Here is a 26,775-nt window from a genome sequence, read left to right as displayed (position 1 = left end):
AACTAATGCTTTGTTAGGTGTAGTGTAAATACCTACACTTATATTATGGATTTATAGTACTGTTTCCATGGCATCCATAGTCACCCCCTTGTGTAAATCCTGAAATAAACTTTACATATATTTATTGAGTTGCTTTTATGAATAGTTTTGAAAAGGTATTTTCATACTATGCAAATTTCATTTTCTTAGTAATGAAACACAAACCTCATAATCTTTTTCACATAAGACAATTCTATTGAAGTAATCATTTTTTCAATGAAGTTTCTAAGTTAAGGGTTGGCAAGCTCCTCCAAGTTAGGGGCTAGCCAGCTAGAAAATACTGTAGGCTATACTGTGCCTGTTGCAACTGCTCAGTACTGCTGTAGAAGTGGGAAAGTAGCCATAAAAAGAAATGTAAATAAATGAGCATGGCTCTGTTTCAATAAAACTTTATTTACAAAAAAGGCTGTTGGGCAGATTTGGTCCACAGGCTGTAGTTAGCTGGCCCCTGTTTTAAAGGTTTGGAATGAAAACCTTCAGACCCAGGAAGATTTGAAGTTTACTGATAAACTAGACATTGTGAATGCCCAAAGGCAAAGCCTCAGACTTGGTACTATCTATGGGCTTCAGCATCATCCGTTCCACATTTGCTTCAACTTAGCTGTTCATTTTCTCATCAGTGATTTCAATATGCTGGCATCTGGGCTTCTTCAAACTCACTCTGATTTGTCTAATGTAGATGACTCTTACATACTTTAACCTTTGCTATTGTTGTTGATGCAATTCTACTGTTGTTATTGTTTAAAGGATTGCTCTATGGCTTTTTAATCTAAATATCTGTGTACAGAATTATAGTTTGGAATAGGAGTATTTCTCTATATCAGATAAGAAAAACTCTGATTATTTCTTTATCTGTTCCACTTTACACTTTGTATTAATCTGTACTGAGTTTAGCTGCATAATGGCTTTTGCTAAGTTGGGCTGCTGTTTGAATTCATTTTTTGATATTATACGGCATCAATGCTGTCTTCCTTCTGAGGGCAAATCTTAGACCCCATATAGACATATGGCTGAAGGTCATGTACTTGGTCATGTACTTTGGTCAAGTACAAATTTGGTCATGTACTTCTGGTCACATGCTACTTGGCTACAGTAACATCTGCTCCAATGGGTAGTGCTGACCTCATTCTGACAACTACATGTCTTTAATTGGTCTCTTGGATCTAGTAAGGGTAAATCTACCTTGTTCCCATGTTTTTAGACAAGAAACAATAATTTCCAGTCTAGGTGTTGCTAAGAGGACTATTTTTTAAAAAAGTAAAAAATTCCCTCTCTAAAGCTTTTTTTTTTCCTGTTTATTTTTATAAACTACCTGCCTTTTCCTGGCTACAGTAATGTGAAGGTAACATAAACAATAGGGAAGAACACAACTCACTGTCAAACTTGTCATTCTAGTTCAACAGCCATTTTGGCCATTTAAAATCTGCTAACTCTTCAATGTATTATATATAGTTCTTACGTAAATCAATATAGATTTCCAGGGTGGGAGTAGGGGGGTCTCTTTCTGATATAAATTTACTTTAGAAGGGTATTTTTAAGACTGAATAGGCAGGTAGACTCTATGGTTCCTTATACCATTTATTTCATATATAATTGAGTGAAAGCAGAAATAATGTAGGTAATATAAACTTCACAACATGAAATAACTAAAATGATTCAAATAACAAACATTTCAGGTCAAAATGCAAATAGGAATTAACATAATTCATCATGTTTAATATTAAATTACAGAATCCTGGCCAACATGGTGAAACCCTGTCTCTACTCTAAAAATACAAAAAAATTAGCTGGGCGTGGTAGTGGGCGCCTGTAGTCCCAGCCACTCGGGAGGCTGAGGCAGGAGGATCACTTGAACCCAGGAGGTGGAGGTCTCAGTGAGCTGAGATCATGCCACTGCATTCCAGCCTGGTGACAGAGTGAGACTCCGTCTCAAAAAAACAAAAAACAAAAACAAAACAAAACAAAACATTAAATTACAGAAAAAATAATCTCTTGGAATGCATCAGTGACAAAATTTCAGTGTTACTTTCAGATTCTATGTACTATTTCTGAATTGTCCTTTCAAGATTGTGTTTGGGTATTTTAAGATTCTTACAAATAGAAGAGCTTTTTAAATGAGTCATAGTTCAAATCTTTTTAAAGTGAGAATTGATAGAAATCTGACATACCCGTTGCTAAAATTCATAAGAGCTAAATGGCTCCCAATGAAGTGACAGAGAATAATGTGTACTCACATCAAATACCCATGGCATGGAATCCTTTTTGGCAGGGTATCATCTGGAAAGCACACAAAAGGTCCAGAGAGGAATGTCTCTCACAAAATTCTTTCATCTACCTTCCAAATGGCAATGACAGACCGCTGTACAGATAGGAGTTTAAGCTGTTTTTCTTTTGTAGAGGATGCTTATTTGTTATGATCTTAACCTGGCATCTATCAAAACAGAATGAAACCCTTAAAAGAAACCTTGGAAAAGGATAAGGATGTAGTCTTTTTTATGCTTGTGACTACGGTCTTTAGATAGTAAAATCTTTGCATTTGTTACCAGACAGTAGATGTTATCATATGAAGGAAAAAAACAATAAAAATCTTTAGGGCTATTGTCATCAGTTCAATCGATCCTTTCTATTCTGCCATAAATAGATGAGTCTATTTACATTACAGACTTTAAAAAAATAGCTTAAATAAATACACAGTGGTACAGAACCAACACAGAACGCTAATGACATCTTAGTGAAACACTGTCATCACACCCACATCGCCAACTTCCACGTCCATACCATCCCACGTGCCAAAGGTTTTAATCAAACCAGACTTCTTATCCTCTGCAAAACTCCATTAACTTTTTCACCTCCTTGCTTTGGTTTGTGCCACTTGCTCTACTTGGAGTGCTTTCTCCTCTCACTCCCATTTCTTCTAGAAAATTATATTTCTTGAGACCCTTCTTTTCCTTCCTCAAACAGTATTAAACTCTCTTACTCCTTTGAACCTAATATTTACCCATGCTATATTTTTATTTTGTATCTCTTACTCAACTTAAGTTAGCACCATGTATAAACCAACCAAGCACTGAAACATGACTCCTCAATATGATTCAACAATCTCATCTCCGTCATTGATTTCTGAAATCTCTTTATAACATTTTGCTATTGTATAATCTGTTAAGATGCATTAAACAGTTGATCTATGTATTAGCCTGTTCTCACGCTGCTGATAAAGACATATCCCAGACTGGGTAATTTATAAAGGAAAGGGGTTTAATTGACTCACAGTTCCACATGGCTGGAGAGGCCTCACAATCATGGCAGAAGAGCAAGGGACATCTTACATGGCAGGAGGCTAGATAGCATGTGCAGGGGAACTTCCCTTTATAAAACCATCAGATCTCGTGAGACTTATTCACTATCTAAGAACAGCACGGGGAAAACCCATCCCCATGATTCAAACCAGGTCCCTCCCATGACAAGAGGGGCTTATTAAAATTCAAGGTGAGAATTGGGTGGGGACACAGAGCCAAACCATATCAATCTATGACACAAAAAAATCCTCAAAACACACAAAAACATCTGTGGCAAGTAAATATTTCCAAAACAGATAAGCACTATAAAGGATAGAGATTTGGCTAATATTGTGGTGGATCAGAAGGATATTCTAATCACTCACTAATTAGAGGCAAAACCATCCAGAAAACAATTGTCAGCAACGTTTTTACCCGACTCTAAACAAAAATGTATCAATTTATAGTTTAACTATTAAGACTTCTCAGGCCGGGTGTGGTGGCTCATGCCTGTAATCCCAGCACTCTGGGAGGCCAAGGCGGGCAGATCACTTGAAATCAGGGGTTTGAGACCAGCCTGGCCAACATGGTGAAACCCCATCTCTACTAAAAATACAAAAATTAGCCAGGCATCATGGCGGTTGCCTGTAATCCCAGCTTCTCGGGAGGCCGAGGCATGAGAATCGCTTAAAGCTGGGAGACAGAGGTTGCAGTGAGCTGAGATCACACAATTGCACTTCAGCTGGGGCAATAGAGTGAGACTCCGTCTCAAAAAAAAAAAAAAATTAAGACTTCTCAAAAGATTCTTCGGGGGTTGTGTATGTGCTCACACATGGGTAGTAACACTGTTTATCCATATAATTAGGAAACTGCTTCTAACACATTAGTGAATTTTCAATTTAACACAGGTTAACCTTTTAAATAATCACACAATATTTAAAGAATGTATCAGTCTTTTATGGAAATCTGTACACATATTGAAAACTATTGCCGATGGGCAAAATCTGACCCACTGCCTGTCTTTGTATAAAGTGTAAACTATGAATGGTTTTTACATTTCTTAATGTTTGGGGCAGCAGAGTGGGACAAAAGAAGATTAGCATTTTTTGACACATAAATATTATTTGAAATTCAAATTTCAGTGTTGATAAATAGAGTTTTATTAGAACACAGCCCTTTTCATTTATTTATATGTTGTCAATGGCTACTTTTCACTGCCACATTGGAGTTGAGTTGAGTTGAGTTGACAGAGGCAGTTGAGTCCTAGCTCTGTCACTGACGGCTATGTGAGTTTGGGCAAATTATTTAAACTCTCAAAGTGTTTAAACTCAAGAATAATACAGGATAATATTTCCCTTTAAAGTTTTTGGAAAATTAAATATGTTAATAGACATAGTAAAGTACTTAGTGCATAATGGCAGTTGTGGCACCAAAACGATATGCCTAAAAAATAAGGATGCAGGAAAATTGAAAATTAAAAAATGTCAAAAGATACACTTTTGACAAATATGAGCCAAAAGAAAACATGAGTAGCTATGTTAGTAGAAGAAAAAACAGACCTCAATACAAAAAGCATGACAAATGAGAGAGGCGTTCATTACCTAATCTAAAAATGGTTCAATTTCCCTGGAAGATGCTAAAAATTCCAAAATATTTTGTATCAAAGTATATCTCATATTAAGTAAAAAATTATGGAATTAGAGTAAGAAATTGACAAATCTGTGACCAAGGTGGGAGATTTCCTTGTACTTTTCTCAATTAGGTTAAGCAGTCAGAAATTTAATAAAAATGCGGAATATTTGAACATATGTAACCTCTGACATAGGTCTTGCACTGTATTTCAATCTTAATAGTGCATTTTGATTATATAGAACCTTGCAGCTAAAAATCAGAAATAAATATTCTTCTAAAGCCCTATGAAATATGTTAAAATTGACCATGTACTCGAACATGAAAAAAATCCCAAAGGGTTTCAAACCATTAATATCAGAAAACATGTTTTCTGGCCAGAATCCATTGAGTACTTCACAACAATGCATATTATGTACCTTAACAAACATGATAGAAAGAGAAGTGAAAAAAAAACATGAATAGGCCTTAGAATCATGAAAGGAATTGAAGCATTGGTTAAAAAGCTTTTACAGAGCTTATACACAAATATTTTAAGGCATATTCTACTAAACTTTTGAGAAGAAACTAATTTAAACATTATGCAAACTCATCCAGAAAACAGAAAAATATGTCATGTTCTGCATCATAGTTTAGAAGGCCAATATAACCTTGCTACAAAATTGTCAAGTACATTGGGATAAATATAAATTATAGGTCACTAAGGAACAACATTGCAAGAAAAAAATTATTATCAGATAGTTCACAGTGGCAAGTGCATAGAAGTTGGATTTAAGGAGGGCAGTACTGGGGCCAAGGAGAAAAGTTGGTTGATGTGGGAGAGTGGAGTCCTAGAACAAGGGCAGCAGTAGTTAGAATGCAGAGGAGGAAATGCATTTAGGATATTTTTAGGTGATACACATTTGGCAGGATTAATGATTGGTTAGATACGGTTGCTTGAAGGGAAAACATGGAGTAAAGAAGGCTCCTGTATTAGTAGCATGTGTCACCCTCTAGGGTAGAAAATGAACCAGAAGAAGCAAGGAAGCAATGAACCAAAAGAAGCATTAATTCACTCTTGAAATAATGAGTTTTGTGATACAAATGGGATATTTAATAGTTACTACGTAAATGAGTCTGGCTCGGGGAGAGGAATGAGTTCTAAATACAGATTTTGAAGTCATTGTTATATAAGTGGAATTGAGACCATATGATTCATTCATTCATATTTATTAAGTGTGACTGTATGGGGGCACTATTCTTGTTCAATGAGCAAGACAGAGTCTCTACTATGATAAATCTTAAAAAGCCTGATGATGAAGACATAATTAAACAAATAGTTAGAATGAAGTGTTTGACAGAGATAATATAGATGCTATGGGAATGCACAGAAGGGGATTTAACTCACTTGAAGATCAATGTGTGGAAGAAGACTTCCAGAGGAAGTTATGCTCAGACCCAAATGGTGAATAAGAGTTACCCAAGAAAAAGGCTGAAGGAATGACATTTGCAAAGCTGTCAAGGCAAGAGAAAGAACTTAGTGTGCACAAATCTTTGGAAAAACCATTTTCTCTGGATCTTGGTATTTCACGAGAAGTGGACTATGAAATGAGATGGAAGAAACAATCAGGAGACAGATTGTGGAGCATCTTTTAAATTTGGACTTTATATGAAGAGTAATGAGAAGTCATGAAATCATTCTAATTAAGAATGTGACATATGTAGTTTGTATTGAAGAAGTTTACAGAGTCAAAGTAGCTGAGGACAGAACCCACATAAATGTCAGCATTTTAGGGGCAATTAGAGGAAGGGATGCCTGCGAAGGAAAAAGAGAATAAGCTATCACGAATTTATATTTTGATTTGTTTTTTCATGAATTTAGCAGTAGTAATCAGAAATGTGCATGAAGGTTTAAATCTCATAATATAAAATATTAACCAAACACCGTGATTCATGACCAAGAATATCAAAATGATAAATATTTATTAGAGTTTAAGGATGAATTACTAACATATTAATGATGATGGTAATAAAAGAATGATAGTTATAACTTAATATAATTTTTACTAATACCAGGAACTTATAAGTACTTTATATAAAACACAAAGTGACCCAGTAGATTTGATTATTAATACTATTTTTTCACACTAGAAAACTGAGATCTCTCATGACATTAGGGAAATTATTCAAGGTCAACCACGTAATAAGTGGTAAAACTGGTATTTGATTTCAGGCACTTAACATTGCATTATTATGACTGTCCTCTACTGACAACATCTGTGCTATAGAACTGAAAATTTCTATTTGATATAAAATAGAAAATTTCCATTTAACATCAAAATATTGGCCTGTATGTCATAAGTCCAACTCTAAGGAATTTATACGTTGTATCTGAGAACTCTCTTCCATTGCAACAAATAGTAAGTTACTACTTTCCATAGTTCTGATACAATACCTGTTATAACATGATGAATAAATTATAAAGCACATCTGTTAAGTAAAGCATACTTTTGACATAGGTTTCATACTGTATTTCAACCTTAATTGTACATTATCATTTGTATACATTTGTTTCATTTTTGTAGTAAAAGGGAAAATTCTTTGAGGCAATTTTTCTTGAGGCAAGGTGTTCCATCAGAGCTTTAAAAAGATCTTTTCCTCTATATCTTCAGATAAATGACATTTAAAAATATATATTGTCAGGAGATCATAATTCATTTGCAAATTTATTGCTTTAAGGAAGTTGTGGGCCACTGAAAACAAGGAACCAGTAAGAAAACCTACACAGCCTTATTTTCATATAAGAAAATTTCTAAACTATTATAACCACATTTCATCAGTCTAAAGATTTTTAAGGAACATGTTCTCTTTCCTTAGTCCTTGAACGTGGTTGACTAACTCAACTGAAAATTTCTGCATATGCTCAGGGCTCTATCAAAGCAAAAAAAAAGAAAATTAAGAGATGGGGGTCTCCCTGTGTCACCCAGGCTGAAATGCAGTGGCCCAATCATAGCTCACTGCAGCCTTGAATTCCTGGGCTAAGAGATGCTCCCTACCTCAGCCTCCAGAGTAGCCAGGACTACAGGTGCACACCACCATGCTCAGCTAGTTTTTATATTGTTTGTAGAGACAGGGTCTTGCTATGATGTCCAGGTTAGTCCTAAACTGCTGGCCTTGAGTGATCCTCCCACTTCGTCCTCCTAAAGTGTCAGAATTACAGGCATAAGCCACCAGACCCAGCCAAAAAATTTTTATACAATTTTATTATTTCAAAAAATTCATTAAAATGATCACCATGGGGAAAAAATCAGAACTTTTGAACTCCTATACTCTTATTTTGTAATTTGTTTGTTGGACTTTTGAATTTCCATGGAGTAGGGCACCATCACCTTTCCAGTGAGCAGGGCTTCCAGAGGTCTCATTAACATCTGCTCTCATCTCATATTCAGTACCTGAATACTGACAATGGGAAGGAAATAGGGAAGGAAGAACAGCACCCAGTTGATGTGTCAGTCAACAATGTGTGTCCAGAAGCTAGTAAGTGATGACAACGAAACTGACCCAGTACAGATATTCACGGAGGTCTGCATATTTGTCTCCCTGCCATCCCATTCAGGCCTCTTTAACCCTTCAAATGAACCGCTGGCACCAGGAAACCCTCTGCAGGCTTCTGTATTTCATCTCTAGGATTTCTTCATTCTGTCAACCCTTTGTTTATTTTGCTGCTAGTTGCTCTGCTTTCTTCTTCCTTTGACTACCCTTGTTTTAGTTTCATATCAATTATTATTTGCTCGGTGCCCCTGTTCTGATTCATTCCCCTTGTTAGATTTCATCACTCCTTCAGGATGACTTCTAGCATCTGCCCTCGAATCCTTTACTCTGTAATGCGGGACAGTGGGAGGTAGGGGATAGGCACACGCCTCCCTTTGCCTCCTCTCACCAAGTTAAAGGAGCCGGACACATAACCCTCATTTATGTGCCTTTATCCACGTTCACTTACCCCTCAGTTCATTTCTCCACTTTCTAATCCAAAGCAGTAACAGCCTGTGGAATCTGGTTTAATGAAGGCAAGTAATAAATGTTGCAGTGACTCCAAAGGAGATGCTCTGAAGAGAGTTGGACTCCCTTGCCTGATTCTGATTGTTATTTCTCCCTCAGTTACAAGTGAGAATTTCCATAGGAAGCTCCATTGTTATTTTTATACCTGTATCTCCTTTTGCTCTCCCACTGGCTTGGCTCCAGCAGGAAGGCAGTAATGTATGCTCCAAAGACACAGTTAGCTGTTCTCCTTCTCCTGCTGGGATGGATGATCCTCATACTTGGTAATTGACAACAGGTAAATATTGACTGTCAGTCTGGCTATAAATGTAACAAGAGTTTGTAAGCAAATATATTTGGATGACTGATAAAAATTATTGTAAATCTTGATGAGATTTTTTTTTTTCCTGAGAGTCTTCATAAAAGATTTAAAAAAGGAAACTCCTCTTCATCCCAGTGACGGTTTTAGACTTGAAGTTTTGTTTTGTTTTGTATTTTTTTGGGTGGGGGGCGTTGGTTAGGACATAAGTTTTTTTTTTTTCTGAGTTATTAAAACAGGGTTTAGTACTGTCAAATATTAAAGATAAATCTCTTCTTGGGATACTACAAGCTTAGAACCTGAAAGATTCTTACTTTTTCTAAATTTATATGTAAACTAACTATTTTGCTATTGTTTCTAATTTTGCTTTTAATAAGAAAAAATGAACCAGGGGAATTTTAAGTAGTCAAATCAATGGTACATTTGTGTTGGTGGAATGCGGTAATTAGGAATCAGAGATGGGGAGAAATGAGGAAAAGAACGGTGCTTGTGATCTGCAGTCCAGACACAGAGCACTTCTCTCTGGATGGCTACCAATCCACTTGACAGGTATACAGTTAACCCCTGACCTTCCCAATTCCACCTCTATCTGAAAGACATTTTTAAAAAGCAGTTGGTATCTGTAATTTTAATTCGTTGTGAACTGATGTCAATATGCTATATTCCTTGGAGATATCTGCTTTGTCATCCTCCTATATTACTTATGAATTAGGGTTTAAGGGTTTTTAGGCATCTTATTAGTCTCCAGAGAAACAGAAGCAATAGAATATATACAGATACATAAAGAGAGATTTATTATAAGAAATTGGCTCATGCAATTATGGAGGCTGAGAAATCCAATAATCAGTAAGATCAGGAGAACCAGTGGTGAAATTTTAGTCTAAGCCTGAAAGCCTGAGAACCAGAGGAGGCAATGACGTCTTAGTCCAAGTCCTAAGGACTGAAATTCAGAGGATGGATGGCATAAGTACCAGTCCGAGTCCAGAGGCCTGAGAATCAAGACCACCGATGTCCAAGGGCAGAAGATGGATGATCCAGCTCAAGCACAGAGAACAAATTTACCCTTCCACCAAATTTTTGTTCTATTTAGGCCTTCAATGGATTGGCTGATGCCCACCTACACTAGTAAGAACTACCTGCTCTACTCAGTCTACCACTTCAAGTGCTGAGCTCTGCTGGAGGCAACCTCACAGACACATTCAGAAATAATGTTTTACTAGCTATCTAGGCATCCCTTAGCTCAGTCAAGTTGAAACATAAAATTAACTATCATAGCATCCATATCTGGTAAAAGAAAAGGACGGACGTTCCCAGTGAGCCTGAAATCATGTTGCTTAGCTACTCATTACTCTAGGTTCCTAAGAAGGAAGGAGAAAATGGGAAAGAACAAAAGAATATTTCTTATTCCAATGCAATAAGAAAATGGAGGAGAAGAGTATTGGAGTTGAGAACCCAAAAGAAAAATGGGAGAGTTCCCTGGAGTGATTTATAGAGACTTATTTTAGAGGGAATAAAAGGCATGTCATTTAAAGGTGTTTCATGCCTCTTCCTCTTCATTTGTTCCTTTTTCTGTTACCTGAATCTCAACATTTTTTTTGCAAGAGGATTAAAGGCAGTTTAAAAATAAAAGACATGCATACACTAAAACCCAAAAAGTAGAAATAAAATAATAAGATCTATCTCTCCTCCTGCATAAACATACTACTCTTTCCATCCCCTCATCACCTCTTGCATTGGCATTAGCATGCAATAGCAGGATATGCATATTATACCACCCAGAACATTGTTCCCCAGGTTTCTGAAAATATGTTATGCAATATGTAGAATATAGTTTTGTAAAAAAAATGCTAACAAGAAACAAAACAGACCAAAGGAAACAAGCCAAAGGAAAATTTTCTGCTCTATGCTTTGCCAAATATATCTCTCCTAGGAACAATTTACATAATATTACAAAATTTATTGAGATATTGGATACAAGATATTTAGGAACCTCTAAAATAATACCACAAGCTTCCGTAGCAGTAATGTGAGCAAAACATTGAATATTAAGCATTAAAGAGAGTTAGGATTATGTAAAACAATTTCCTGAAGACAGAATCCACAGATGATCCCCTAATGCTTATTTTTAAATATAATATGTTGCTATGAGTCTAGTCACTAAATAAAAAACAGAATTGGAAAACATGCATGGCAACTCCTTAAGTTGTTCCTCCAGCTGAAAAATAAAGCTATATCAACCATTGAACAAAATGTATGGATTGTTAATAATGCAATATGTGAGTTATTCACCTTGTCTCTCCCACACACAGGTGACATGGGATCACTTATTAATCTTTCAAAACTGGTAAAGTGAAAGGTTGCCAGTAAGCAGAAGTCTTATTGCCAAACCTCTATCATCGTCATGGCCCTTCAATTACTCACTTAGAGTTTTGTATTTCAAACTCAATGTTATGGCTCAATTATTTTAATATGTTCCAAAACATTAACTCATTTGCCTTTGAAGTAAAGTAACATATTTATGTTACAACTGAACCTGAAATACCACAGAAATTTTTTAAAAAGTAGTTATTATGATATATGTATTTGATCTTCCTCTCTGTTTCCTGACTTACTATTACTAAACCCCCTGGAATTTCTAGGGACAGAAGATTGTCTCTAGTGTGCTAATGAGATAACTGGTGGTTGGGGGCCCTTAGATAGCTCCAAGATGGGAGCTTGTTACCAAAAGACGAAGGCAGGATCAGAGGGTTGGGACTTTTAGCCCCATACACCAACCTCTGGGGAGAAAGAGGGACATGAAAGTTAAGTTGGTCAATGGCCAATGATGTAATCAATTATGCCTACATAATGTAGCTTTCATAAAAACCCAAAGGACAGAGGTAGGAGGGCTTCCGGATGGCTGAACATGAGGAGATTCCTGGAGGGTGGCTCACCTGGGAAGGGCATGGAAGCCCCACACTCCTTTCCCCACACCTCTTCCCATCCATTTCTTCTATTTGTCTGTTCATCTGTATCCTCTGTAATATCCTTTATATGAAGGAGGAAATGAAAGTAAAGTGTTTTTCCTGAGCACTGAGATCTGCTCTTGCAAATCAATTGAACCCAAGGAGAAGGGTCACGGGAACCCCAATTTATAGCTGGTTGGCTTCCAAAGTGATGTTCAGTCTTGTGGGGGACTGAGCCTTCAATCTGTAGGATCTGATGCTACGTAACTCTGGGTAGATAATGTCAGGATTGAATGGAAGTACATGTGTGCTCTGGAGGGTCGCTTAGCTGGCATATGGGAATAACCTCCACACATGTTGGTGACCAGAGGTCACAGAACTATTTTTTGTTGATTGTTGTGTGAGAGCAGGAAAAGCACTTTGGTTTGTTTTTCTTATTCACATAGTTATCTTAATTTCAATGAAGTTACAGAGCATGGTTTGCTCAGGAGTAACCTTGTGAATCTGAAACTCGTTTAATTAGAAATTTTTCCCCAGAGTCAAGATAAAAATACACATCAACCATTTTCTGATTTTAGTGATGTTAGAGATCAAACAATTTGCTAAAAACCGAAGTCATATAAGGCCATTTCACATTGAAAATTAGAGTTTTGCTCTAATAGATGAAGAAACTGGACTTACCCCTGTCTGTGTCATACAGGAAGACAAAACAGTTCCATTCGTAGTGATCCAGCAAACTCAAGAGTGCTCCTCGTAACGAAGGTCTTAGTTGCAGCACAAACTGGCTCTCCCCCTCAGTAGGGAAACTTGGTGTGATGAGGGAGATATGTAAGGCGCTGCAGAATGAGGTCAAGGTATGTACCGACCTCTTATCATAGAGTCCAAAAATGGCAAATACTCCTCTAGAATACTGGGAACAGACTGAAACAAGAGGAAGAAAACACCACAAACTATTAGCACACTCAAATTGTTGACTTTGAAGTCTACATTCTAGAAAATTAAAAAAATAAAAATCACTGAATCATTGGATCTGTCAGGAGTATAAGATAAAGAGTATAAGTGAAGTGTGCAATTAATTGCACAATCAATTAATGAATTATTGAGCTTGTACTCAAAGGCTTACATTGAGTGAAGCTGGTCTGAATTAAAATTCTGCATTAAGAAGCCAATTGGATTAAAGGGAAATTTGACTAAAATAAAAAAAATATGGCCTTCCATAATAATGTGGCAAATCCTATGCTAGAGAACTTTAGGTGTGACAAGTCCAAAATTATTTTCTGTATTTTTTTCTACATGCAAACATACAATTATATACGCTTGAAATTTTTGAGTATTAATTGAAGGAACATTTATAATACCTTTTGCCCTCCTGCCTAAACTATAAGCATATATTTTCTATTCTTGAATTGGATTATAGTTTTCACTCCGCCTAAATTGTTACTTTTTATTTGCTTGCTGTGGCAATTTCATTTTAATCACAATCTTAGAGTCTCCTTGAATCATGTTTGAAAACAGACGTTAGGCTGCTAGAAAGTCATTCTTGGAATATCTGAGAGGCTTAATGAATTGGGGCCAGCTGCGCATGTTGTAGGCGGGCCGAAAAGCAAAGACAAACCAATTCCAAAACCCAACAGAAGCAAGCCAAATAAAGTAAGAGGACCCCAGAGAAACAGGTACACGGCCTCATCTTGCCTTTCTTGGTCCATGCTCCCAGTTGCTACAAAACCATGAAGCAACATCATAAATAGAAAAAGATTCTTCTCAAAATTCTTTTTCAATCACATTTTTATCACTCTTTTAACATAACTGATTTCTGGTCCAAATTGGTGTGACTTTTTCCAATTTATATTTTAAGGGACAGAAGCTCGCAAAGGAGGTACCATAAAGAAAATCTATTTGGATTCCAAATTCTTATGGTTTATCATGTATGGCTAACAGTCCTATTTCTTCTTGGCTTATGTAGCTAGATTAAGAAGTGTTTAGGTCTATAAAATTTTTATGTTTTCTGATTTTAGTTACTAATCTTACTTGTATTAGCTATGAATACATAATATGGCAAGAATTAAATGAAATTATGTAAAAGTGCTATGCTATGAAGACACAGAAGGTGATTAATAAGAGGCAGATTTTAACACAGTTTTCTATGTGCATTTATGTTGTTAAATAGTTTTACTTTTTAATGAGAGAATAAAAGTCTTAGTGAATAAAATACTACAGTTGATTCAAAACCAAGAAAGGAGGTATTCAGATTCTAAATAGAAATACCATTTATTTTGATAGATATTATATTAGGGTTTATAAAGAAATTCTATCAAAGAAGAACCATCAACTAATTCTATGCTCACCAAGGAACTAGAATTTGATCTTCTGAGAAGACTGACCAACATGGAAGTCTTGCTCTGACAATGTGACTGGCTGTAATTTTCTTGCAAGATATAAGGAAGTTTCTAGTTGAAGCTTCAGGCATCTTAAGTTTAACTTAATTCAATTCTTATAACTTAAGTGATCTAATAAATCAAGTTGCTGCGTCAGACCCTAATCTGTAAATGTTCCACCAAGGCTTTGGATGCAAGTATGTAAGTGGTCCACATTTAACACCATTAGAACCTGGAGTTACTCAGCTCCTTCATATTTTCATATTTTTTGTTCTACTGATTTTCTTGCAAACTGAGGGCCAACTCTCAAGCTTTACATGATAAATAACATGGTTCAATTAATTTGTATTTCACTCTACTGACAAAAATAAATTGAAGAGCTGTAGAATTCAAACCTAAGATCCTGGCTTTTAGTTTGTGCTGAAACTATACACAAATTTTAATACTTGTTCTAGAAAATGTAAACAAACAGGATTTACAAGTCGTGTACTTTAACTTATGCATATAATGAATATTTACATAATCTTTTAAAGTATGCCACTTGAAAACCATACGATTTTCAAGCTTTGGCTTCTAAATTATGTTTTTCTAGGAACCCCATAAATTCCATGGAAGTACTCATGTAGCTTTTTATGAAGACTTTTGCTGAGATAGCATTGGGTGGGCAATGCTGGACTCCTTTTCTTGGTATCCTTCCCTTCCACCCTCACAAAAATCCAGGAGCACTTCTGCTTTCATCTATTTTAAATATTGAACAACTGACTCTATAAAATTTAATGTCCAAAGTGTACTACACTGCTCAAGTTCAAAAACAACAATTGTACTATACATAAAGTCCATCTACTCTTTATTCCTATTATATTGTTTTCATTGTAATCATTATGACTTTTCACTATTCTGGTACTCACTATACTATTTAATATTTTAATTTATTATACTGGACCTCAACAAACAATATTTTCTGATATTTTATCGTCTTCTATCTGCTTTCGTTCATTTGCATCATCATACATTTCTATTTATTCTCCTTTTCATAGTTGTCTGTCATTCTTCCTCTATTCATATATACTTACTTTGAAACTATAGTCTCAGGCTGATAAATTTGCTTCTGATGTATTCTGTCACTCGCATTTTACTTTCCCTTTGCAAATTTACAGCTGTAGTCTTATTCTTTTAAACATTTATTTTTTCCTATTTTGTCTAGATCATAGGCTTAGCAAGTGAGGGTTATTGGGTTTTGTGTGTGTGAGGATAGATTGTCAGGCAAATATTCAATGTTATTATGTTAGTATGATACCTTGGGCAGTATTTTATTTGGTCCAGTGATTCAAATTTTAAAATACAGTTATTTCCATATATAGTATTATAATATAGCTTTGAAAACACTCTTGAATCAAAATTTTGCTTGGCTGAATCTTATGACATCTATTGTTGCTTAGCATACAAATAATTATTCAAACAATAAAATGTCTTAGATTATATAAATTCAAACAAATTAATGAAAGTAAACTAAGCTGAATTGAATGTGTTCAGAATACATAAAAGGGAAAAATGTAAATTTTTATGTTTTCATAAAATGGCAAAATAAACGGGAATTAATGCTTAGCCACTAAATACATGCAATGATATTAGATTGCTCTATATTTTAAGTTATAAACACTAATCAGAATAAGACTTTCAATGAAATGTCATAATTTTAAGTGCATGTTCTGTGTTCTGTTTCACTAACAAGATCACTTGGATTATGTATTATATAAATAGAGACATACAATAAACACATGATACTACTCCATTTTTTACCTGATTGTGTCAACTAATTAAATATGTCTTCTCATCAGGTTCATTCCCAATTTCATTCCAGATGCCACCTTCCAGATGCCACGCTAAGTCAAATGATTATATAATTTGTGAGGATTTGTAGTTCTATATCACATACAAATCAAAGGACACGGCCTTAGCTCAGTGTTTCTCAAGTTATGGGACATCAATCCAAGAGATGTGCTGAATTTTACTGACCATTGCAGCATGGTGAGGAAGAGCACTGTTCTTTCTTCCATCTATGGCCCTTCTCTTTCTCCTGTATCTTCAGTTTTCCACCTCTTAAGAAGTTCCTCTAACTGCTTTTAAACAAGCTCAACTCTTTTCTTTTATAAAGCAAAGAACTTTCCTGACCTCATGCTTCCTATCTCTCTACTGTTTCACAGCCATATAGTTGAGGAGTCTTCTGTTCACACTCTTTTCAATTCATCTACCTGGCTTCCGCATTTTCCAGCCACCCAAACTAGTCTCTTCAACTTTGCTAGCGACTAACTACATCCTAAATCTTAGAGTTTAGGTTTTATCTTATTGGAATACCCTGGTATGTTTGACACATTTGGACATTTCTTTCAAATGCTTCTTTGCCTTGCATTCCTAACACCACAACTATGCTCTCTCTTGGCGTTTCTTAGTGTCCTTGAACACTTCTTACTCTGCTCCTTTAAAGTTAGTGCACCTTAAAATTCTCTCTCGATCCGCCTTTTCATTCTAAATATATTTCCTGCGTGAAATCATCCAATTCTGCGGCTTTAATTACCATCTATGTTCTCATGATCCCCCAAACTGTACCACCCACTTCAAATGTTTCTCTTGAATTCCAGATTCATGTACCTAATTGTCTTTTGCCTCTTCTGCGCCTCAGTGAATTTTCTGAGAAATGGTTGCAATGGTTTTCTTCCTTTTTCACATTATCTTCTAGAACTTTGCTACTTCCCCATTCAGAATTGGAGTCTTTCCTCTCACTTGAACCTGGGTTGGCCTTTGAGACTGCCTTGACTATTAAAGTATCACAAAAGTGATTCTAGGGGCGGGGCGCGGTGGCTCATGCCTGTAATCCCAGTACTTTGGGAGGCCAAGGCGGGCGGATCACGAGATCAGGAGGTTGAGACCATCCTGGCCAACATGGTGAAAACCCGTCTCTAATAAAAATACAAAAAAATTAGCAGGGCGTGCTGGCACATGCCCGTAATCCCAGCTACTCGGGAGGCTGAGGCAGGAGAATCATTGCTTGAACCCCAGAGGTGGAGGTTGCAGTGAGTTGAGATCGGGCCACTGCACTCCAGCCTGGGCAGCAAGAGCAAAACTCCGTCTCAAAAAAAAAAAAATCACAAAAGTGATTCTGTGTGACTTTTGAGAATACCATTCTCATTCTCTGGGGATAGACAACCTTTTTACTCAGCCACCATGCTGTGAGGAAGCCCAGGTGACGTAATGAGGCCCACATAAAAAGGAACCAATACCTCAGCCATAACTAAGTTCCAAGCTGACTGCCAGAACAAAGTTAACAGCACTAGGAATAAATAATCTTAAAAATGCCCTCGGTTAAACTGTCGCAGCCAATGCTGTATGAAGTAGAAATTAAGTCTTGCCCCAAATGTAAAATCATGAGCAGAAGAAATCACTGTTATTCTAAGCCATTCAGTTTGAGATGGTTTGTTATGCAATAATAACTACCAAGTAAAATAGATGTGTACAGTACTTAGGAGTATTAAGGAGTGTGCCTACCCACAGTAAGCACTCAATACATATTTTATAGACCTGTATATTAATAAATATTGTTTGAAGTATGTGTCGAAGTTTAGTTTTTTCGTTTCTTAATATTGAGCATTTTGGTTGAGCTTAATATTGAGCATTTTGGCTGTTTTTAATTTTTGGCAGTGATAACATGCTCTTATAATAACCATTTTCATGTATATCTGGTTATTCATTAGGATATATTGCTAGAAGTGAAATTATAAAATAAGGGGTATGAATCTTTTTGGTTTTGATCAATATCACTAAATTTCTCTCCACAAGTTTATACTAATACACATCTCTCCCAATAGTAAACTATCTACTAGGTTTGTCAACTTTTCTTAATTTTCTATATTCTATATTTATTCTTTCAGTTGTTGCTCTTGTTTTATATTCATACTTGACATAAAATTCTGATTTTAGTAAATATCTCCATACTCCATCTGAATAATACATAGACATTTAAGCATTTTAACTTTGACATTGCCCTCCTGTCTTACGTGTTACTGTTGTACAGTATTATAGTTCCACATGTGTTTAGTCATCTTAAACATTTCATTCCCTCTATCATATATTTCTATTGCCTAAAATCCTTGGTAATTTGATACTATTTTGTGTGTGTTCTAATTCGTATTTAAAGTGGATTGTCAACATATTTGTTTTGTAATTTTGAATTGTGAACTAATTTTCAGCAAAGCTCTATTTGTGAGAATTTAAGAGGGCTGTTTTGGAGAAATATTTCTCCAAAGTGTTTTTGCATTTACTTATCCCAATTATTCCAATATGTTTTTGTAAGTGATGTACCTGTGTTTGTGTGTGTACATGTGTCTGTGAATTTCTATGTTTATGAGTTCCTAGAAATTGCAGATAGTACAAATTTGAACAGAAAGTTCACTTGAGAGCAGATAAATACGTCAAAATTCTTATGGGAGTATGTTACTTTTTATGCAGAACTCAAGGGAAGCCAGGAAGTTTTTAGGATTACTCTTTGAGCCAGGGAACAGATTTTTTTTTCCTACATCTACTTTCTCACTGATGCTGTAGCCTTTACGAATCCTCGTTTGTATGGTGATCTCATTTCCAGCTTTTTGCCGATTGTTGGTTCAAGGCCTTGAGAATCACTTTCCCATGTAAACCTCCCCAAGGGAAGCTACAGTACCTGCTCCTGTTGTCTAAATTTTTCTGTTTCTTAGTTCTGTCCCTTTGATATTTTATATAATTTCCTGTAGACTCATTATACATTTGAAAAAGTTATCAGTTATAAAAATCTAATACTCCTAATTGTTCTTAATAATTATGCTAATGTTATAGAATCCATAATCTATGGAACTGGAGGTCTTTGCTGCCTTTGTTTGTAAGATGCTGTGGTCTAAGGTCAGAATTTTATCCAACTTTGTGTTTGGCATAACCCTTAAAATATTTAACTTTTCTATGACTTGTCAATCCTGATAGTGCAGAAATTTCATTTTCAGCAAACTTTCCCTGATTCCTTTAAACTGAATTAACAACCTTGCCTCTTTTTTTGCCATAATACTCTGTGCACTTCTAAAAAAAAAAAGCCAAACCTGAATTTTCATAACAATATTTGTTGTAATTATTTTTGATGTTGCCTATCTCTAACAATAGCATGATTTTCTTGAGATTTTCATCTAATATTCCTAAGGGCTATATTTTCTGAATGAACAAGTAAACTAAAAAACCACAATAATATTTTTAGGGATAGTATCATTTTATATGATCTCATATATTATAATTGTCTCAGAATATTTATTACTTCATAACTAGGATATTGTAATAATATTATACAATTACTTGTCTTTTTTCCTACCTACAATACACACACACACACAAGCATGCAAACACACATATATAATTATTATTAGACATGTAGCAAACGTATCGCATAAATGTTTATGAAAATATTATAATTATAGCAATAATTGTTGGGTAGTATTAATAAAAAATCTCTACTAATATTGGAAGAGGGAAATGTATTAATTTTAGTTACGGAAATAGGATGTGTTGAGTCAGTAAATTCGTAGGAAAAAGGAATACTCAGCAGAACATTGAGGAGAGGCAGGCAAGCTAAAATAGAGGAGGCTACAAAATGTTTACATTCTTAAGCACATCAGTGAGATAAGCTAAGAACAAGGTTAAAACCAGGCTAAGCAAGACAAAAGTCTTAATATAGACTGAACTCCACAAGTCCCACTCCTGACTGCCTTGATTGCGAAAGTCCTCCTCATATTAGTGATATTTTACTAACACAAATAATGTAAATGGTAACTGGAACAACATATGAACTAGATAGAAACTATATTTTACAGATAAAACTAAGAAGTCATTTGAGACAACTTTGTACAACAGATAGAGGTAAACTTATGAGGATTGTGAATTAATGGCATTGTTCTGGGTATATTGGCTTAGAACTGCATTTCTGTGTTTCTTCTTCTTCTGGATTAGTCGGTGTAGATATGGTAGATGTTTTGTGTTTTTCTGTCACTTTACCTCTTCTACAAAGTGGCCATTACTACATGGATGGAAACTCAAGAACTAAACACATTCTCCTGCTCCGGTTTGGCAAAGTGGCTCAAGTTGTTAGCTTTGTGAAAGTCTGCTGCCTTGAGTAATAATATTCCTAGCCCTTGTTGCTACCAAGAAGGGTTAGAGTAGTTAGACAGAAGATTTAAAAACAAACAGTGATACGAACAAACGTATTACTTAACATAGATGTTTCATAAAGAACTTTATAAAGAATTTTAACATATGTAGCCTCATTTATTAATATCGTTATTATTATTTTATTACTATTATTCACATTTTGGAAAAAATGTTAGTTATTAGCACAAGAAAAGAGAGATTACAGAAATTTATCTAACATTTCAAAAGTCTCTCTTCAGAGTTTCTATTTTCTTCTTATTTAGTCCACTAGATTAGAGCATAGGACTTAAAAAATGTTTTTCATGTATTAAAAGGTTTACCTATTCCCTTTTTGAAATGTACTGTATCCATAGAAACAGAAAGATGATTGGAACCTGCAGCTGGAAAATGTTATTATGAAGGAATCAATAAAAACTAGAAGCACTATAAGAAAGTTGACCCTAAATTAACAGTGTAACACATAACATGTGGTTACACTGGGCCTGGGAAATGGGAAGAGAGCAGAACGGAAAAGAAAAAGCTACTAAAACTCTTTGACTTGTCTTTAATATTATCCAATTTGTATGTGATGTATAAGGTGCATTTGTCTAAGTGTCATCATTTTCTGAGCTAAGGTAACAGAAGCTAAAGGTTTTTATAGTACATCTTGCAGCAGGGGTCACCACCTTGAAGTCCTGGGTCTAGAGGAGATGAGCCTTATTTGACAGCTACATTTTTTCCCCAATTGAATATGAATGCTTTGAGGTGAGGTATGTATTCCTCAGCAAACTGCAAGCCTTACCACTCCGTATTAGTACTACTATGATACTTCAAGTATTTATGTTAACTTCCTAGCCTTGTAGATATCTGAACTCGGATAACTAATCTATGCATTTTTCGATATGAATATAACTGTTTCTTGGTTTGGGGCAAATTGTTTAAGGTTGTATCAAAAGTGTGCTTATTAGTGTTTTCTCCTTCTTTAGTAGAAAGCATGCACTTCCAAAAAAGAGGTGGATTTAACACTACCACTCATTCCTCTATTAAAAAATGTTTATATACTGCCTAGTTTATTTCAGTCACTGTGTTAAACACTTCAAAGAAAATACAAAATAGTATTCCCACTAAGATGAGTTTCACAGTCTAGTGGACAAGACAGGGCTCTAAACTGATAATCCAAGATGGTGAATATAATAAGGAACAGTCAGAGGGAATTGGGAGGCACAGGGAAGAGGTACTTCTCAGAGGGTGGAGTGGAGGGAAAGACTGACTGGAGGAAATCCTACCTGTCTGTGGAAGTTAGGCTGAAGAATAGTAATTAAAGACATACAAACCAGTAAGTAGGCTATTGTAGTAGGCCAAGAAAGAGATCATAAAAGGGCAAATTAAAGCAGATGTGGTAGGCATACAATGTAGAGGTCAGATTTGGGAAGTATTTAGGAGATAAATAGGCAGAATCTAATAAATTATTGAATGAGGAGGATGAAGAAGAGGGAGGAGAAGAAGACAGAAAGATGACTTCTTGTTTGTATCTTGAATGAATGAATGGATAGCGGTGGTATCACCTTGGGTGATAGCCTGGATAGCTTGGAAAGATTTTTCTTGGATACTATGGGAGAAGTACAGTTTTATAATACACAGAAAACACTGGATTCCATTTTGGACATGTTGAGTTTGAGGTCCCAGGTGTCTAGCTGGTAGTTGCATGTAAGAAAATGAAGTGGAGCAAGAAGAAATGGTTTAAATATGTAGATTTTGAAGGAAATGACTGTGAAAGTCAACATGAGATTCTACAGGAACAATGTGCGGTGAAAACCTCTTGTCTGATGATATAAATATGGAAAACAATTCATTTCAAAAATAATAGCAGATATTATTGGAGGAATAGGAGACCTGGCAGATGAAGTCAGAGAAGGTAGAATTTTTCAAGAAATGAATGCTCAAAAGTATCAAACAATATAGAGAAAGATTTTTCAGGTTTGCGTTTGAGGATTTATTTTTAGAAGTCCCTGAGTTGTCTGGGAGACTTTATCAGGTTGTTGTTAACATTTGAATGGTTATTTTAAAGTAGTGTAAGCATATGCTGAATCATCTAGATGACCTCCCTGAAATAGAGAAATGCCTTGGGATTTCAGTGCCTGTACTTCTATTTTTGAATGAAATCACATTTAAAATACCTCAGGGATAAATGATACCTAGAAATGTTAGGTAAACAAATGCACACCAACTGCTTGAACAAAAACATAGTGATAAGAAAATGGAGGCCTTATATGCGCACCCAGTTTAGGCACACAGAACATAAAAATCTGAGGGCTCATGCCGGTAATCCCAGAACTTTGGGAGGCTGAGATGGGTGGATCACATGAGGCCAGGAGTCCGAGACCAGCCTGGCCAACATGATGAAACCCTGTCTGTACTAAAAATACAAAAATTAGCCAGATATGGCAGCAGGCGCCTGTGATCCCAGCTACTCAGGAGGCTTAGGCAGGAGAATCGCTTGAACCCGGGAGGTGGAGGTTGCTGTGAACTGAGATCTCGCCACTGCACTCCAGCTTGGGTGACAGAACACAAAAAACTGATTTTTTGGGTTCACCATTCCAGTAACAACTGTGTTAGATACCAATAAAATGTGGGCTTTGGTAATTATGTAATGCTAAATGTATCTGCAAAGGAATATGACTTTAAAGGGTATCAAGAGAGGCTATATATATACATACACACACACACACATATATATATATACTCACACTTGTATATATATACACACATGTATATGTGTGTGTGTGTGTGTATAAATATGTTTGATAGGAGAAATTTGAGCTTGTTTACAAGTTAAGGGAATGGAGTCAGTAGAGAGCAAGATAGGATACAGAAGAGATAAGGGATACTAATTAAATGAGGCTCCAGAAAGATAGAATACATGGGGTCAAGGACAGATATAAGGTTGGCCTCGAATGAGATGTGCAGGTGCGTGGGTGGGAAGACACCTCATTTCATAGATTTCATAAATCAAAGATTAGGTAAGATATGTGTAGGGGTTTAAAGCTCTATAGTTGCACTGATTTACAAGGGAAGGTTGCAAATCAGTGATATTTGAAAAGGGGGTTTGAAAGTAGTTCAAGTTTCAAATTGTTTCAGAAGGCTGGAGAAAAAACTAACCAAGAACACATGAAGTAGCTTATAAACTGTTATGATAAGGAACTAGGCTTATTTTATTTACAGCTGTGTCCAGTACTACACATGTAACACACTAACTGCCACATGATAAACGCCCCATAAAACCCTACTGAATGAATAACACAACAAGCAAAGTGAATTAATTTTTTTATGATGAACACACCTAAAATCTACTCTCAGCATATTTTCAATATATAATACAATATTATCAACTATAGTCCTCATGCCATACGACTTATTCATCCTACATAACTGCAAGTTTGTACCCTTTGACCTGCTTCTCCCCGTTTTGTCCTCCTTCCTGTGCCTGGTAACCACCATTCTTGGTTCTGTAAATAACCATTTCACTATGTATCAAAAAATCATGTTATATATCTTAAACATACACAATAAAAGTAAATTAAACACACAAATGATTGGATAAATATTGACAGACCTCAAAATGTGAATTGGGAGTGGCCACAATTTAGAAATGTATGACTCTTCAGGCACAGATAAGGCTGGTGACCAAAGGGAATAATTATGAGGAGTTGATTTCTAGAACTTTGCCACTTCCCTTCTTGGAACACACTCCTCTCTTGGCTTCCCCAACAAGCATACTTTCCAGAGTTCCCTCTTACCTGACAGCTTATCCCATGTTTCCTCCTCTTGCATTTCCCACTTGACCCATTTTAAAATATTGAAATAGCACTTCTTCTACAATGTTTCTTTAGATCATCTAATCCATTTCTATAGCTTCAACTATTACTCATGTTCCAAAGCTCCCATGGTTAATATTTTCATATTGTCCCTTTCTTTTCCATGAGCTTCAGACTCAAATATCAACAGTTTCCTTGACACACCCTTTGGTTGTCTCTTCTGCACCTAAAACTTAGCTGGGTCAAAACAGAACCCTTCATTTCCCCCCCTCAAAACCTTTTCTCTATTTTCTGCCATTCCAACAGAAAACATGGCTATCTATGAAAATATTCTTGATTCTTATCTTCCTCTTATTTCCACATCTAACACATGAGAAAATCTTGATCATTTATCTCCAAAATATCTAAACTATGTCTAAATCCATTCACTCCCTTTGTCTCCATTACGCTGCCATTTTTTGCCCAGTCAGCTTCAAGTCTCCTAACTCTTCTAACTATTACCAGTTTTCCTCCTCCCTAATTATGCTCCTCTCAACAGAGAATGTAAATAGACTGCATCTCATCCCTACTTAAAATTCCAGTGGCTTCTCATCATATTTGGAGTGATACCCATGTGATCTAAAAGCCACAATGACTTTTGTCTTTACTAAACTCACCTAACACTGCACCGCTTACTAACCATAGCCAAACTCTCCCTTTTTCTTCTATTTAAACTTATCTTCTCCCCTCACTTCAGGGCCTTTGCAGTAGCTGCTCTCACCTGATCTACATATAGTTGGACTTCTCACCAGTCTTTTCTCAACAAAACTGTCCACTCCTCAGGGAGACCGTTTCTGACTCCTCTCTGTCATGAGGCTCTCAGAGCTCCAGTCATTCCTTACTACAGTTATTTTCTTCATAGCTCTTACCACTATTTGAAATTATCTTATTTATTTGATTGCTTATTTACGTCTTTTATGTAGGAGAATACACGTTCCACAAGAAGAAGTAACTGGATTGTTTTTCACTGACATATCCCTAGCCCCTAAAGTTGGCACATGGAAAGTGTTCAATTAATATTTGCAGAATGAATGATATCATGGTTTATGGCAAAAGAAATAAGAAAGGAAGAGAATGAGAGAGTGTGGAATGACTGGCTGAAAGCCACAAAAGTCTTACTTTCAGGTTGCTGAGTTGACCCTGGCAGTTAAGTTTCTGTTTCTGCAGTGGATCTTCCTCCCCTTTTGACCATGCATTAACTCACCAATAGTTTTTAATTAAAGCTCAGTTTTTGAAAATTGGCAGCTATTAAAACAAAGAAGTATAATGACTCTTTGTGAAGAAACCAATTATAATCATAGTTATATATTAATTGTTTAACAATCTTAACTCAGTTAAGACATTCTCCTTTACACTTGACACAAAATGCCTCTTTATTTTGTTTTATCAGGGTGATGTTATGTTGTCATTTTCATACATTTAATTTTTGCTAGCTAGAATGTGATGAGGTTGTCAGTGCATCTGGCAATGTAGAGCCTAGAATTGAGTGTCAAACACAATTAATTTCAGGTCTTGCAGCCTCTCCCAAACACTCACTGCTCAGCCTCTTGGACTGTCCTGAATATTTGTTTTTCATTCTATATTAACTTAATTTTTACCTGTTGATTTTCAGAATGCTGCTATTTATCTTTCTTTTAAAATAAATCTTATTAGCCCTCTGGATGTTAAAAATAATTTCTCTTAAAATACTGACAGTTTATTTGAAAACTTTACAAAGTCAGGCAAGAAATTCCTTTTTCTGTAATTATTTGATGTTAAAATGATAAGCTCCTCATGTTCAGATTTGAAAAGGCTCAATCAGATGGTGGATAGGCATGCTGGGCCCAGAATTCATTAATTTATACCCTTAAGGCATTATCATAGGTTATTAATATGTAAATGCTAATTTTCTTAGAATTCTGAATAGTGGTTAGCTACAGTACATAAAGTTACTGAAGCTAATCACCATAAATGACAAGTTGAAATGCAAATTACACAAAAATATTTCACTTTAATTATATATCAATTAAGTACTTTCAGTGTTTCAGATGTCTTCTCTGAAGCTGCTTCTGGACAGCACCATCAAAGATCACAATGAGATATAATCATGAGCTGCACTTGTACAGTCCTGCACATGCTTCTCTTTAGTTT

General features: G+C 35.7%; 1 protein-coding gene across 26 annotated transcripts in view, besides 1 other annotated feature; it reads right to left on the bottom strand.

The window, feature by feature from the left end:
• Nucleotides 1-26,775, bottom strand: part of GRIA4 (glutamate ionotropic receptor AMPA type subunit 4) — a 372,097-nt gene that overhangs the window by 215,965 nt on the left and 129,357 nt on the right. For all 26 annotated transcript variants that reach the window (NR_046356.2, NM_001440383.1, NM_001440386.1 and 23 more), the window contains one exon: nucleotides 12,906-13,145. Coding sequence is in view for 25 of the 26 variants with exons in the window: in NM_001440383.1 (NP_001427312.1) it covers nucleotides 12,906-13,145 (240 nt within the window). In the remaining variant the exon portion in view is untranslated. The remainder of the gene's footprint in view (nucleotides 1-12,905; nucleotides 13,146-26,775) is intronic.
• Nucleotides 11,823-13,022: an enhancer, noted in NCBI's record as "CDK7 strongly-dependent group 2 enhancer chr11:105623830-105625029 (GRCh37/hg19 assembly coordinates)". NCBI's record gives its function as "activates an origin of replication core promoter dependent on BRD2, BRD4, P300/CBP, MED14 and CDK7 cofactors, with strong dependence on CDK7, by STARR-seq in HCT116 cells {active_cell/tissue: HCT116}" and the evidence as "EXISTENCE:reporter gene assay evidence [ECO:0000049][PMID:35650434]".

The sequence above is a fragment of the Homo sapiens genome, chromosome 11, assembly GCF_000001405.40.
Source record: "Homo sapiens chromosome 11, GRCh38.p14 Primary Assembly".
Lineage (NCBI taxonomy): Eukaryota > Metazoa > Chordata > Mammalia > Primates > Hominidae > Homo > Homo sapiens.
Note: the sequence above shows the minus strand (reverse complement) of the source record. Positions and strands in the feature narration are given on the sequence as shown.